Source organism: Homo sapiens, chromosome 7, assembly GCF_000001405.40.
Source record: "Homo sapiens chromosome 7, GRCh38.p14 Primary Assembly".
NCBI lineage: Eukaryota > Metazoa > Chordata > Mammalia > Primates > Hominidae > Homo > Homo sapiens.
In genome coordinates, this window is record NC_000007.14 from 82,279,161 (window position 1) to 82,296,224 (window position 17,064).

The 17,064-nt window shown below is 35.4% G+C and overlaps 1 protein-coding gene across 16 annotated transcripts in view, besides 1 other annotated feature; it reads right to left on the reverse strand.

Annotated features, from left to right (window-relative positions):
- The window catches only part of CACNA2D1 (calcium voltage-gated channel auxiliary subunit alpha2delta 1), a 497,513-nt gene that overhangs the window by 332,717 nt on the left and 147,732 nt on the right, over positions 1-17,064 (reverse strand). The window lies entirely within an intron of this gene.
- Positions 5,646-6,297: an enhancer, noted in NCBI's record as "OCT4-NANOG-H3K27ac hESC enhancer chr7:81914122-81914773 (GRCh37/hg19 assembly coordinates)". NCBI's record gives its function as "activates a minimal SCP1, AML or CMV promoter by ChIP-STARR-seq in naive and primed H9 embryonic stem cells {active_cell/tissue: H9 hESC(naive and primed)}" and the evidence as "EXISTENCE:reporter gene assay evidence [ECO:0000049][PMID:30033119]".

The following is a 17,064-nucleotide window of genomic DNA, read 5'->3' on the forward strand; positions in this document are numbered from 1 at the left end:
TAAGGTAATTCCATTATGACTAATAGGTTCAGAGGGGCAATAAACTGAAATGAATATGTTCTGCAAAAGTATGTGGATAGAGGGTTCTTTCTGCCCCTCCTCTATTTCAGGCTGCAATGCATCCATTTCCATTAATAACTGGAATTTATTTATTTATGTATGTATTTATTTATTTATCTGAAGTTATTACAAGTGGTATAGCCCACTTCTGAACAGTTGGCAATTCAAATTTTAGGGAAAGACACATACTGCAAATTAAGAGGCCATCTATAGAATCTGATTATCAACCAGTCTGTAGTTGTTATAATCCAAAATGACTGGCTAATAATGTTTTCTCTAGGGCATTTCTTCATCATCGACTATTAATACTTCTAAATCTCAGTGACAAAGACCTCTTCCCCAAGTTTATATTCATCTCAATGAAGATAAATCTGTATAGGACTAAAACTAAACAGATTCCTTAAATAATATCCAGTCTCTTCTTCTAACCTAACTTTTCATAATTGCTCTCTCCTTAGACTGCAGGGTTCCCATAACCTACTGCTCCTTTAATAGTTCCTTTTAATAACTGATCTGTTGTTAAGATTTGAAAAAATTAGGTCTCCCTGAATAAAATCATAATAAGTATATATACCGCTTATTATTTGTACTCTGTAGCTTTAGAGTTATTTTTTTAACCTAAAATGTAATTAGATTGTGTCTTACCACAAGACTAAACTTGGTCCAGGTAATTTTCACACAATCTGGTCTCTCTGTTCACAGCTTAAGTGATCAAAACTAATTGGACCTAAATATCTGTAACAATACAAAAATGATATAATTGCATGCTATTTTCTATGTCTTCTCTTTTAAGTGACAAGAAAAAAAGGCACAGTGATTACACAAACAAAACACTTTTTAAAAACCTGGTATTGATTTATTTAAAGTAAATCTTGTGAATCAAAAAGAAGGACTAAAAATATATTAATTTTCAAATGAACAATGTATTTTATTTTGAATCATAAGTGAAAATACATGTTACTTGTATGATATTTTATTGTTAGATTTGGCTAGTTTCCATTTCAAGACATTTAACATATAAAAATAGTATGTGTGCATGCTCATGTACATGTACATATATATTACATATGACAGAGAGGAAAATTTGAGTGACAAAAGTACTGACAAATTATAATTTTCAGAATTCCAGGACAAAAGAGCTCATAAGGACAAAACACGAGGCTCAAGTAATTAATAAAACAGTTCTGTGGCATTTTTTGTTTATGCTAATATCTTCCCAAATGACACTTTGATGTGTGCCATCTTAATATATCCTGAAGAGCACACAGGCCTGTCTTCCTACTCCCAAGCTGTAGTCCAGCTCTGGAAGAAGCTAATGATCTTCACCATTACATGAAATTTACATTTTTTAAATTTAGAAACCAATTTAGGATCACAGATTCTAGAATTTTAGCGTTAGAAGCTTTTTATGTAATCTCATCTACCCCTTTTACATAGAAACCTTACTTATTAATTATTTTAATTTAATTTTATTTTTTAGAGACAGAGTTTTGCTTTGATGCCCAGGCTGGAATGCACTGGTATGATCATAGCTCACTGCAGCCTTGAACTCTTGGGCTCCAGTGATCCTCCCACCTCAGCCTCCTGTGTAGCTGGGACTACAGACACGTGCACCAGTGCCTGCCTGGAAATTATTTATTTGTCTGAGGTCAAACTGCAAGTAAATGAAGAACCAAGACACAAATTTAGGCTCCTGATTTGGAATCCATTTTAGTGTATTTCCACAGCAGCAGGTATATCATTTGGGTTTCCTTTAGCTGCAAGTAACTGAAAATCCAACTCAAATTGGTCTGATCATTAAGGAATTTACTAAACTGGAGAACAAGGAAGTCCAGATGTAAAGTGTGATTCAGTGTTAGTTGACTGACCACCTCCACATCAGCATCAACTAATCAAGTCCTCCATAATTTAAAGGCTCCTCTTGTTCTCAGGAGACTCTGGTTTGGGGCCAGTGGAAAAGAGAGATTTTTCTTCCTCACACCACTACTGAAGAGACTTGAGCTTTGCATTGATAAGACTGCTCTTGAACCAGTTTTTCTAGACAACAGAAGACCATGTGTTAACCAACGGAATCTTGGGTTTTTATAAGAACAAGTCATTGTGTCGAGAGACGCAGTCCCATGTCAGTAACTGGTCAGTGTCATCCAAACCAGATGGATGCTACACAAAGGAGAGGGGTGGACTCACTGTTCAAGAGACAGCCACAATGTCCACTACACAAGACAATGTGGACATATAATTTTTTCACCCAAATTCTTACCAACTAACTGTCATTCCTTAGAAAGTGAATATTCTCAATTATATGGAGTTTCACATAGATTAAAAAGCAACATTATGCCAAAAAAATTCTGTCCTCTATAATATTTATAAAATTCAGAGTTATGCCTTGCCTTTCATTTTATCTGCACAAATATTTCTATTAAAAAATAGTTCAAAACACTGTAAGCATATAGCGGGATATGATAAAGATGCTATTTTTATAGAATTTGTATCAATGTTAAATGTAAGAATGAATATAAATATCAAATGTACGTGTCATTATGAACTTTCATTTAATAGCTAAAATGATTTATAAATTTAAAATATTATATTTAAAACTCTCTGATTCCATTCTAAAATTGACAATTCCCTTTATAAATGTAATGTCATACATCCTGCAATAACTTAGGATGTTTTTCATGATAGCAATTTTGAAAATCTTTCATAATATTGTAAATATCAAGAAAACAAAGCAAAGAAAAAAAGAAAAAAGAAAGAAAAAAACTCCATGTGCCAAAGCTAAATCTAATCTGTTGGCCAGGCACAGTGGCTCATGCCTGTAATCCCAGCACTTTGGGAGGCCGAGGTGGGTGGAACACTTGAGGTCAGAAGTTCAAGACCAACCTTGTCAACATGGTGAAACTCCTTCTCTACTAAAAATACAAAAAGTTAGCTGGATGTGGTGACCCCCGCCTGTAGTCCCAGCTACTTCGGAGGCTGAGGTAGGAGAATCCCTTGAACCCAGGAGGCGGAGGTTGCAGTAAGCAGAGATTGCACCACTGCACTCCAGCCTGGGGGACAGAACCAGATTCTGTCTCTAAAATATAAAATAAAATAAAAATAAATCTAATCTGTTATTGCAGTTATGTTCGGATCCACCGAGTGATCTAGGGAAGTTGGGGAATATCGGAATTGAAAATACCCAGTATGCTCCCAACAAGTTCCAGGGAGAAAAATCTATGTGAAAGTTGTAACTGATGCATCCTGATCCATGGGTTGACCCCTTTGAGACAGGTAAGAGCTGTGGGCAGGAAGGTTAGCAGGATTTGTGAGAAAAACTCTTAGCAGAAGGAGGGCGTGTCTGATTTCCCAGTATACTTAACCTAAGTAATTATCCTATTTTCTTATATTTATAACTAGTTCATATACTGCCAACAAATAAAATGATGTTTTCATAATTCCATTTTATTAAACAAAGTGTTGTGTAAATAAAATTGTAAAATGTGGGGGGGGGAATCACAGAGGGTTATCTATAAAAATATCCAAAACAATAAAATTGATTCCTAAGTAAGAAGACATCTTTGAGGATATTTCTGATTTGTTTTCCTTTAGTTCAAATTTATTTTATGTGCGTGTGGCAGGGAGGGTGTGGGAAGGGGCACCTCAGGTACACCATGCACATTCCTACAATACATTACAAATTTAAACGCTGCAATTCGCCTAATATAAGAATCAAATTAAATAAAACTGGTAATGCCATGGCAATGGTGACTATGCATTCAGAATTTTTCAAATATTTTTAACTTTATAATAGAACCTTCATTTAAACATCTGAATCGAGAGACAGATTTTGTTTCCCACGCTCCTTACAATGTATTATAAGAAATCTGCTACTACAATTGTATTTTGACCATATTAGACCTTCCCTGAAGAATACCAATCTAACTGCGGCTATTAAAAAAAAAAATTGAAGTTAAAAAAATTTCATTTCAGAAAATAGTGTACCTATCTTTTCCATTCTGTGTTCCAGAATTCAACCTGAGTTTTCTCAAATTGTTGTTTTATGAGACATTTACAAAGCTGTCTTCCACAAAGTTTCCTTCTAACATTAGAAGAAGACAACTCAATGCTTATTATATGCAAGGCTGGGCAGGTGAACAGTGAAAAGATAAGCCAGGAAGGATCCAGCATCTAAATAGCTTATGATTTTATAGAACTTTAAAATTTACAAAAAAGCATAGATATTTATTCAAGTATTAAAACATATAATCAAATAGCATAAATGTTGATAGAGTTCCTAACAAGCAATTTCATATGGAGATTAAAACATTAATGGAGAATTTTAAGTGAACGGTATCTGTGAAAATGGAGAGCAAGTTCTAAGGACTTAGGAGTAAAAATGATATGGTCTTGGAAGAAGATGATAGGAGGAAGATTCTTATATACTAACAATCACCATAAAGAATCTCTATTTTTTTTAGTAACATAAGGTCACACATGGACTTTGGGACATTAAATTGCATAAGGGAAAAATAGCATTAATGCATGTAACTAGTACAATAATGCAAAAACTAATGAAACAGAGCTGAACATCTAGAAACAAATTAGCAGATATATAATTTTTTAAATAAATGAGAACATGATTCTAGAATGATCACTTAACTATTTGGAAAGAAAAATAAAAAGATGCCCACCTTGCAGCATGTAAGCCCATTCATATAGATTAAGAGGTTAAACATGAGGGGAAATAAATCAGAAAACAATGAAAGCATAAATTAAAAGAAAAGGAAACAGCTCAAGTTAGAGATGGTCTGTTTAAGCAAAACTTCAAATATAGAAACTACAAAGAACTGGGTGTAGTGGTGTGCACCTGTAGTCCCAGATACTAGAGAGGCTGAGGCAGGAAGATCACTTGAGGCAGGAGGTGGAGGCTCTACTGTGCTATGATAACCACTGTACTCCAGCCTGGGCAACATAAGAGCCTTCTCCAAAAAAAAAAAGAAAAAAAAGAAAAAGGAAAAAAACTATAAAGAAAAAGGTAAATCTACACAAATTTAAAAATAAAAGATAAAAGCAAACTGAAATAAATATGAGCATCACGTATCTTGTATCTCCAAGGGCGAGACCATGCAGGTTAATGTAGAAACTGGCTTAGAGGTTTAACTGATACATTAAAAAACCACTGGAGTTTGCCCAGGTATTTACTATTTTCCCTCTTGTTGTGAGGGTTAATACAGTTGTCTTAGTCCATTCAGGCTGCTGTAACAAAATACCCTAGACTGAGTCATTTATAAACAAAGAAATTTATTTCTCAGTTCTGAAGGCTGGCAAGTTCAAGACCAAGGCACCAGTACATTCAGTGTCTGATGAGGGCTTGCTCTCTGCTTCAAAGATGGCACCTAGTTACTGAGTCCTCACATGGCAGGAGGAGCTGAAGAGCAAGGAAGGTAAACTCTCTCCTTCAAGCCCTTCTGTACAGCGCTAATGGCATCCAGGAGAGCAGAGCCCTCATGACCTTATTACCTGTGAGAGGCCTCACCTCATAATACCATCACCTTGAGGGTTAAGTTCCAATATAGGAGTTGTGGAGAAACATCAACATTCAGGCCATAGGAATAGTATATATGTGGCTTGGGTTGTCTTTGTAATGTACATAAGACCCTGAGAGGTCCAGCCCTTCAGAACTTAACAAAACTCAAATTTTTACGCATCCATTTTTTTTTTAAATAGCCCCAACAAACAGATTTTTAGCCACACAGGAGACTGCCTCCTTTGTGTATTCCTTAAAACTCCACCCACATCTACTAGCAATAGATCAAATAAGCCCGGGGCGATGAAAATCCCAAGGCCCTGCTGCCATGCAGAGCTCTTTGATCCACAACCACCCCCAGTGCTGCTTAATCACTGCACATAGACATGTAAGCCTCCTCTCTGATTCCCCTCTTCCCAGGAGCTCCCCTTGCCCTCCTCCTCTTCTCGATGGTGGTCATGGCCATAAGCTTCCAGATGGCTTCATGCTGTGAGAGACTTCCTCGCTCTTGCATTCCTGTTCAAGGGCTGCCCAATAAAACCTGTTTTGTGGTAATGCCTCTCATGGTCATATCTTTCCTCAATCAGGCCCCAAATCCTTTGAACCCCCTACACAGCCCAACCCTGTGCAATCCTGCAGTCCTAGCCAAGGTACCTTTCCCAGACTGAAAAGTGTCATGATATGCAGTACGTACTCTTGAAATAGTTATTCCCTTATTTACTTATAACATATAAGTAACTCTGAAATTCTTCAGCTCTTAAATGAAGTACGTAACTGTTATAAAAAAAGTAAATGCTGAGCAGGGGGTGATAAGGAGGTGTCAGGGCAGTACTATCCATATATTATGGTAGCTTTGGGTTGCAGCACATTGGCTGGATCCACTATGATTAGTGGACTATATGTAACATTTTAAAATTGAACCCTTTGAAGAGTAAATGTGAGTAGCATATATGAACGCATGGGACAGGACTTTTCCTGGTAAACTGGAACATATGGTTACCCTAATTATTTTGACAATGACATATTTAAAAACTTGATACTGGAGGCCATGGGACCCTCTATGAAAAACACAGGTTATGAAGACTCTTTCCTACTTGGTGATGTCTTACGTTAAAGTACGCAACACTGGCACAGCTGATAAAATACAGTTGGGGGTATGCACATGAATGAATCATTCTATTATTTGTAGATCAATGATTAAAAAGCCACAGATGGATTCCAGTGAATTACTCCTGAGGAACTGAAAGCATTTTCTTGGGCTATCCAATGGCAATATTTGTTGTTCTCCTTTTCCCTTGTCTCTTCTTCCTCTCTGTCTCTGCTCTGCCACGCCCCCTTGTAATACACCACTGTTTCGTACTTTTTCTCCTTTTTTTCCTTCTCTCCCATATCTGCTTATTTAACATTTGTGTGTCTGCCAGTAGCTTTTATAGATATTACTTGCTATCTAGGGGCTTTAATCACCTAGACAGCAACATAAAGTTGTTTTGGAAGAAAGGGTCCCAAGCGATTGAGAAACACCCTTTCTCTGGGAAGTCTGTTTTTCCTGTCTTATCACTGTCCCTGTTGGTGCTTGTCCTCTGCTCTCTTACCCTCATACTCGCTATTTTTCTTGCTGAAAAAGAAACAGATTTATAATCACTCGCAGGAAACTCTGATTCTCACATATTTACTAAAACACACACACACCCCAAAACTACCTACTCAAAATAATTTTAAAACTCATTGAAATGGACACAAGGTTTATCCAGGCAAAAACAGATATACAAGTATCTTATAGCTTTTTATAATCTAAGCAAAATACAAAGTTGTACAATCTTTCCAAAGTGATTTTCTGAAGTCCTGTTTCTAGCTTGGTTCATTGTCCTAAGTTTCCCTACTTTCATATTCTGAGGCAGACACTGATTATTGACGTAGCAAAGCCTGGTGGGAGAAGGCAGATTAGATCATGTCTCAATACCTCATCTGGTCTTAAAAAGCTTTAGTTTATTCTCACACAAAAAAAGAAAGAAAGCAAAAAGAAAAATGTTTTATTTTCTTTTTTTTAATCACCAATTGGTTTTTGCTTCTTTAGCCAAGTTACTTTGTCCCCATGCCTATTTAAGTGTGTGGAGATTTTTCCCCCCATTTACAAAGATGAAATAGACTCCATGGGCTGCTTGGAACACATTTAACTTATCTATAGGTTTCAAAAGCACAGCAGGTCCAGGGCATGAAAAAGGCAGGCAGGTGCTCTTTGCATCCTGCACCATTTAACAAGCACGCACAGATTTAAAGAGTAATTTCTTCTCTTCTCAATCATCAGCTGATCTAATTTATAGTTCATTTATTATTAATTATCACTGTCTTCACATTCTTTTTAATCATATATGTCTCCAACCAAGGGTAATGACAATTAGCGCCAATGTATTATTTTTCCTTTTCCTGTAGAATTCCAGTAAGTAACTTCAAGTCTAATTGCACAGTCCCTGACATACAAATATATTAGCATGTGGTAAATCTAGCTTAGACTTTTGGCTTCTTCTTTTCTTTCTTTTTTTTTTTAATACACTAGAGTCCCTTGTTTATTTCCAAAAACAAATTTCTTAGTAACTTAAATTATATTTAGGCAGGCAGTTTTAGCAATAAGGTCACTGGCCTCAAGGATGGATGTTATCCTTGGCTGGGATGTTCTGGAGAAATAACCACATTGAATTCTATTATATCTCCTCCCACATGCACCCCAATGCACAGTTGTGTTTGTTTTCCATTTTCTTTCTCATACACAACATCTGTCCTATATGCTTCACTGCACTGTTTTTTAGTGAAGAAAATGCAGCTGAGAAAGGAAATGAATATCAAATTCAGAGCTCCCAGGAGAGGTGACCCAAATTCTCAAATGATAGCATTATGATGCACTTTCTACTTTCAGATCTGGGATACCATAGTATGATTCCTTAATGATTTAAATGTCATGTACTTTGGCAAGCTCTCTCTGACAACCCTTTTAAAAATGATGCAGACAATTAAAATAATGAGAGAACAAATTATCAGCCATCTAACAACAAACATAAAAGTATAAAGCTCTGAGAGTTACAAGGGCTAAGAATAGGGCTTGTTTATCTCCTTACTTTTTTTTGTTTTTTTTTGAGACAGAGTCTCGCTCTGTCGCCCAGGCTGGAGTGCAGTGGTGCGATCTGCAAGCTCCGCCTCCCGGGTTTACACCATTCTCCTGCCTCAGCCTCCCGAGTAGCTGGCACTACAGGAGCCCACCACCATGCCCGGCTAATTTTTTTTTTTTTTTTGTATTTTTAGTAGAGATGGGGTTTCACTGTGTTAGCCGGGATGGACTCGATCTCCTGACCTCGTGATCTGCCCGCCTCGGCCTCCCAAAGTGCTGGGATTACAGGCGTGAGCCACCGCGCCCGGCCCCAAGTTTTTTATATAAAGGTCTTCAAGTGCCATAGAGTAAACTTTCCTGCAATTCTCTTCTTAGCATCCATTCCAGTATTAAAACTTGTTTTGTTTTTCAGTATTTCTTAAAAGATGTTATTATTTGTGACTCCCTTTTATCCTACCCTTGTCCTCTAAAAGTTATATTATGAATAATTTTAATAAAATTACAGGAAGAGAAGATTGTTTGGGGCAGTTAAGGTAACTGAAGGGACTATAGAAGGAGCACTCACATTAAAAGATGTATTATTTTGCTTCTATACACACACACACACACACACACACACACACACACACATTTGAATGCTTAGCTTCTTTTAACAAAGAGTTATTGAATTGATACATTCTGTTGAGTCATCCAGGCAGACTAAAAATTATTCCTGCTAAAATATTTGTATCTCACAAGGCATACTTGTCTCTGAAGACACTGATTTAATATTCCATATCTGTAAGGAATCTGATGCTAATTGAGCAGGTTTTCTTCTAGTATTAATTTTAATTATTTAGAACAGCATGAAGCTCTTCGTAATTTCCCACCTGACAACTGGGACCCAAAAGAACAGCTGCCTATGGTTTTATGCTCCTATGAGCATGCTGGATATCAGAGTCAATAAGTTTAGGCATGAATTCTCTGTGTGTTCCATTGAGGTTGTGAAAATCAAGCCTTTTGGAGGAGTTCAGAGGAAACCTGCAACTGAGAATGATGTCCATGCCACTGTGCAAAGTGTTATGACAGTCATAGATCTCAAAGGAGCTACAGGAAGCGAGGCTCCCTGCTGTAATGAACGCAGCCCATAGTTAAATAATAAATCACAGTCATGTATCTAGTCTGCAACAGCCACTACCTATCAGAAAGTCACCATGACCACATAGTGCAAATATTTAGTTCCACACAGTTATAAATCTGGATGGGATCCAAATAAAGTAGTTATCTATTTGTCCTTTATAAAACAGAAAATGAATGCTATTTGTTTATGGTGAATTGAAAGTCAAAATATTTGAATTTATCAAATGCAAAAAAGTACAATAAGACCTAGTCATATACCTCCACATTTAAATATACCCCCCAGCATGACTTTAAGAATCAAGTATCCAACATATACATAATTTAGTACAAACATCTTTTGACACCTCACATTTTTTTCTTTTGCAAAAGAACAAAAGGCTTCTTGTACAAACACACACCATTGTATCTGCTCTCAGATATGCCAATTCGCAATACAATGAACAAGATGAATTATTCATTTGACAACTGAAATTGTTTGTGGACGTAAGTTTGCAGAGGCCTAGAATAAAAAGGTAGGTAAAAATGGGACTAGAATTGAACACAGTAAAAAGGCATTAACCATTCCAAATAATTTAACCAACTACATAATTAATTTCTAACTTCAAGGTATGATAAAGGTCTTTCATTAAAAAATTAAATATGACTCTCACTGACTTAAGGCATAGAGGGAAAAAACACCATTTAACCTAACAGAGCTCAAACACAGTTCATTTATCTTGAATCTCTATCAACAAATACTTGGCTCTGAAACCTCACTCATCTTTGAGAAAACTCTAATATTTACGGCCTTTTTAAACGTGACTGAAAAGGGAGGAACTTGTCTTTCTAATGTTTATATCCCTAGTAGTTGGCAGAGTGCTTGGCATATGCCAGTGATCAGTAAATATTGTTGAATGAATAACCTTATCAATGGCACCAGGTATAGGGACATGACATACTGTCCCCAAGACAAGTATTTTCCACTGAAAAGACTGCCTCATCTTACCCTTAACTTTTTTGTTGCTGTTGTTCACTTAAAGTAGAACCTACATTACTGTTGTGATTTCTGAAGTTCAAGCTGAAGGCTCTTTAGAACAAATTAAAGCAGAGAGAGGCTAGAAGTTGAAATATCATTTCAGAAGTTGTTCCTATTAGGTTGGTGCAAAAGTAATTGCGGTTTTTGCCATTACTTTTAATAGCAAAAACCACAGTTATGTTTGCACCAACCTAATATATTCCAGGTAAGAGTTAATGAAGTTCTGAACTAAGCGAAAGGAAGACTAAAGGACAGAGGCAAGCATAATACAGGAAAAATCAAAAGGATGCCTCAAATATTTTCATGAGGAGGTAAAGGAGGAGGAGGCATTAATTGTTGTTATTTTAATTTTAGGTTATGGCAAAAATAGACAATTCGACAAGGAAACAGGTACATCTTTCAGCAGTAATATACTAAGTTGAAATAAGCACAAACCTAGACAAGACGTAAGAGTCCAAGCTAATCTTTGAGGGTAACACATTGTTTTATATAAGAAAGCAATATAAATTCATTTCCAATTGCAAACAGTTTCATTTTATTTTTTATTAAATCATATTTTCCCCATATAATATAGGTGTTCAATTTAAAAGTCAATGAGTACTACAGGTCGTATATTAAAAAAAAAAAAAAAGCCATGAATTTTTTTTTTTGAGAGGGAATTTCGCTCTTGTTGCCCCAGCTGGGGTGCAATGGCATGATCTCGGCTCACCACAACCTCTGCCTCCTAGGTTTAAGCGATGCTCATGCCTCAGCCTCCCGAGCAGCTGGGATTACAGGCATGCACCACCATGCCGGGCTAATTTTGTATTTTTAGTAGAGATGGGGTTTCTCCATGTTGGTCAGGCTGGTCTCAAACTCCCGACCTCAGGTGATCCACTCACCTCGGCCTCCCAAAGTGCTGGGATTTCAGACGTGAGCCCCCGCACCCAGTGAAAGCATTATTTTTAAAAAGCCTGCCACCTTCCCCACTCTTAATTCACTTCTAGAGCCAGTCATTTTCTACTTTCTTTTCTTTTTTTTTTTTTCCTTTGAGACAGGGTCTGGCTCTGTTGCCCAAGATGGAGTACAGTGGTGCAATCACACCTCACTGCAGCCTCAAACTCCTGGGCTTAATGGATCCTCCCACCTCATCCTCCAAACCCCATCCCCTACTATCTGGGACTACAAGTGCAGGCCACTTGTACATATAATTCTATATCGATATAGAATTATAATTCTATATCGATATAGAATTCTATATCTATAAAATTCTATATTATATATTTAAAATATTCTATATATAATATATATACTATATAGAATATAGTGTATATATAATTCCTTTATATATAGTATATATAATATATAAATATACATCTATTTAGATATATAGATATCTTTATACATCTATTTAGATATATAGATATCTTTATACATCTATATCTATCTACATCTACACTAGATATATAATATCTAGATATATAATATATAAAATATATATTTTTATTATATATATTAAATATATAATATATAAAAATATATTATATATATTTTTATATATAGATAGATCTATATATAGATAGATCTATATATGTGATATATAGATATATATAAATATATATATTTATATTTATATATACTAGATATATAATATATAAAAAATATATATAAAATCTATATTTTTATATCTATCTGTGTGTGTGTGTGCATATATATATATTTTTTTTTCTTTTTTTTCTTTTTGTAGAGACGTGGTCTCACTATGTTGCCCAGGCTGGTCTCAAATTCCTGGGCTCTGGTGATCCTTCTGCCTCAACCTCCCAAAGTGCTGAGATTACAGGCGTGAGCCACTGCACCCAGCCCAGAGCTAAATGTTTTCAGTTATGTTAGCTATTTTTGTTATATACTTCCATTTTTAAATATAACACTCTAAAACTGCTATACATTTTTAAAATTTAGATAATATCCACAAAATTGTTTTATCAAAATACATATTTATTTTTCTTTTGTTACTTTCCCTTCCCCACTACAAACACACACATACATACACACATGCACGCACACACACACACACACATTTTTCTCTTCCTCAATTTTTCCAGTTTAGCTAGTGGCAACTTTTAGGTAGTTCTATAATTCAGTGCTGACATAATTATGATAATGAAAATATTACTCATAGCTAAGCAATGTAGTGTGCTGTGACACTTCCTTTATTTTACAACTTATTGATTTCCCTGGAGTTATACATTCTCAGGTTCTCTAAAGGAAAACTTAGTCACTTCAACAGGATCAAATATATTCAGCAATCCATCTGCCTCATGTTTTCCTTGGAGACATAAGTCCTGGATAACTCCATCACCCTGCACCTATTTGATGGGATTAAACTCCTTGCTTGCTGCTCTGCTGACATCAGTAATTGCCTTGCTTCTTCGTTTCCAATTTCCTGTTTCTTTAAAACAATCCATGTATTCCTTTTACTGTTTGTTTCCTTGTTTTGTTGGAGCACTTCCTCCAGTAGCTTCCTGAGAAAAGGTGCATCGGGAAAACAATTTTTTGAAAATTTACGTGCTTTACCTTACACTTGATTGATAATTTGGATATACAATTCTAGTTTGGAAATTATCATTTCTCAGAATTTTTAAGGTATTTCACATTGTCTTTAGCTTCCAGTGTTATTAAAAAGTCTACTGCCTTTTTGACTATTATTCCAATGTACTGTCATTTATCTTTCTCTCTGGAGCTGTAATATAATTTCTTCAGTGTTCCCAAACCTCTTGTCAACGTCCTGTTCATTATTTCACTTCCTACTTATGATGTCTTTCAATCTGGCTTCCAAGTCCATTAGTTATGGGAAATTATACATGGGTATATATAATTTAAATAAACAAATTTTATATGAATATATGAGTAAGCATTCTTACTATATACAAATATATGAGAATCACAAATACATATGTATGCATATATGTATATGTGAGTATATACAAATATATACACACACACACATACACATTAAAAAATAATTTCTTCCCCTTGATTTTTTTTCTTTCTTTTCGGAAACCTTATTTTATACTTCATAGACTGATCTAATTTCCTATGACTTTATCTTCTATTTTTTATTTCTTTGCCTTTTTTCTAGGAGAGTCTCCTTAACTTTACCTTTCTTCACTTCTACTTAATGTTGCAGTTATGAATTTTTATAAATTATCTCAATGGCCCTTTTATATAGCACTCTAAATCTTGTTTTACACATGAAAGATCTCTTATCTAAGGATGTATAATATCATTTTTTGAAGTTTTCTTCAGTTTCCTGCATTGTCTCGGTTGCCTCTGTTTTTTGCTTTTGTCTTTTTTTTCTTTTTATCCTGTTTGTCATTTTGACTTTCTCATTAAGTTCAAAGCTTTCTTCAATCATACATAATCTTTGTTTATCCATATTTAAGAGTAAGACTTTGAAAAGCTAGTTGAAAGCCCATTCTGCATGGGCAGGTTTGCTAACAGGTAAGTAGGGTGTTCAGTTGGTGACCTGGCCATTTTGTTTGCAAATCCCAAAATGTCAGTCTCTGAAGAGCTCCTCTCTTGTGCCAATAGCTGCAGAAATTACGTTTACAAACTCCTTTCTAATTCTAGGATTCAAGAAGGGAGGAGCCTGGGTATCTCACACCTCAAAGAAGAGGCTTTATTTAATTCTAAAATAGTTTCCTGTTTTAGAATGATGCCTCATACATCTCTTAGCTCCAGCTATCTCTGAGTCCAGAGCTTCTTGGGTTCAACCCAGGGCTGAGTTCAGTATGGGAAGGATCTGGGAATATAATTTATTTTAAACACTTTCAATGAATCTTTATGTTTTCAGCTATATTTTGCACCCAGCTTTTTAAAGGCAGCTTGTGGCTCCTGTTTCTAAAATCTTCCAGAGATATGAGGTGCAAATGTGATTATTTCCCAATAGAAATATTTATTATATATTATCCCAGTAGAGGCCCTTAGCTTTTTGCTCTTTCTGCTCTTAGAAGACAATGATCTCTCTTCTGGCTCTACAATTTTGTTAGCATTTCTTATCTGACACTATCTTCTCTTTTATCATCTTTATCCTCACAGATTTAAGTCTTCATTTTTCCTTTATTTTATTCCAATGGGGCATTTGAAAGAAAATAAAGATAGATATGCTTGTTCAAGCCACCATGCTTAATCAAAACTCTAGTAAACTGAACTATTTTAACATAACATAAATTGTTCGGCTATATTTTAATATGGCTAAATATCTAGTCAAGATATTCTTATTTCTTACTACTAAAAGTACTTAAAATTGACAGTAAAAATAACTTGGCCTTTATTACATAAAATTCAAATATTTTTGGTTTGATGTAGAAGTCAGCTGTAACATAGATGCAGGATGGAAATTTTAACTTGATATTAGGCTCCTTTATCACAGGTCTTCTCTTGAATCTAGGAATTCGGTTATTCACACTTGCAATTTCTATATGGTGACATGACTCATCATTTATTTTTACTATAATTAAGTTTTCTGCTGCAACAGAAATATGACTTTTTGTACTCTGAGATGAGCTATTTTATTCTGGAAGGAAAAATAAATTTCACAATAAAAAGCAGATTGACTAATGGTTAATGATAAGTCATGTCATTAAGTATCTCCCAATGTTAAAAATATGTCATGAGTCATGAAATCTAGTAAGCTAAAATAATTACAGAGGAATCCCTGCAACAAAACAGATGATAAACCAAATTTAAAGCAGTTATATATCTGAAGCCCAACCATGTAGAAGAAAATTTAAACCAACAGCCTACAAAGTAAGTATCAATCTTATCATTCTGAAACTTTGTAAAGGAATTACACTAATAAATTTGAGTTAATTTTTTAATTTATATTTTTCTAGCTACATTTTATGTTGTTAAAATGTTTTACTTTTACATGATATATCCAATTTATAAACATCTACATGACAAAAAAAGAAAGTTAAATCAGTCCAAGACATATCAACTGCAGAAAACTAATACAGGGCTCATAGTTATAATTTGTCAATATTTTACTTGCTAAGTTAAAAAGGAGAAAGACAAAAGACTTGCCATCTAATTATTAATTACACAAAAATCTTTCAGGAAAGGAAGTGAAACTTGAGACATCGTTTTTGGAGAACACCTATATTTCCAATACTTCATTTTGCCCATTTCCTCAAATATTCTATAAAGGAAAAAGAACCTTAAACATAAATGTTAATGTAAAAGGTTTCTTGTTACAGTAAAATAACAAAGTGGGGAGATATTGATCAAAAGGTATAAAATTTCAGTTAGACAGGTGGAATAAGTTCAAGAGACACAAGGTGAGTATAATTAATAACAATTTATTGTATACTTGAAAATGTCTAAGAAAGTAGCTTGTATTTTTTTTTTTTTGAGACAGGGTCTCACTCTGTCGCCCAAGCTGGAGTACAGTGGCGCAATCACTGCTCATTGCAGCCTTGACCCCCCAGGCTCCAGCGATCCTCCTGCCTCAGCCTCCCCAGTGGCTGAGATTACAGCTGTACACCACTATGCACTATACCTCGCTAATTTCTTTCTTTCTTTTTTTTTTCTTTTAAGAGATGGGGTTTCACCATGTTGCCTAGGCTAGTCTCGAACTCCTGAACTCAAGCGATCCTCCCATCTCAGCCTCCCAAAGTGTTGAGATTACTCAGCCTCCCAAAGTGTTGAGATTAGTGATTTATAGTGTATAAACATAAATGAGTCACTATTGCTATAACACAGGGCCAGTTTGTGACAAAAAAAAAAGTGTGAGGATACTGGGTTAACATGTAGATTCTGATACCCAAAGGACTATAAATCATGCTGCTATAAAGACACATGAACACGTATGTTTATTGCGGCACTATTCACAATAGCAAAGACTTGGAACCAACCCAAATGTCCAACAATGATAGACTGGATTAAGAAAATGTGGCACATATACACCATGGAATACTATGCAGCCATAAAAAATGATGAGTTCATGTCCTTTGTAGGGACATGGATGAAATTGGAAATCATCATTCTCAGTAAACTATCGCAAGGACAAAAAACCAAACACCTCATGTTCTCACTCATAGATGGGAATTGAACAATGAGAACACATGGACACAGGAAGGGGAACATCACACTCTGGGGACTGTTGCGGGGTGGGGGAAGGGGGGAGGGATAGCATTAGGAGATATACCTAATGCTGAATGACGAGTTAATGGGTGCAGCACACCAGCATGGCACATGTATACATATATAACTAACCTGCAC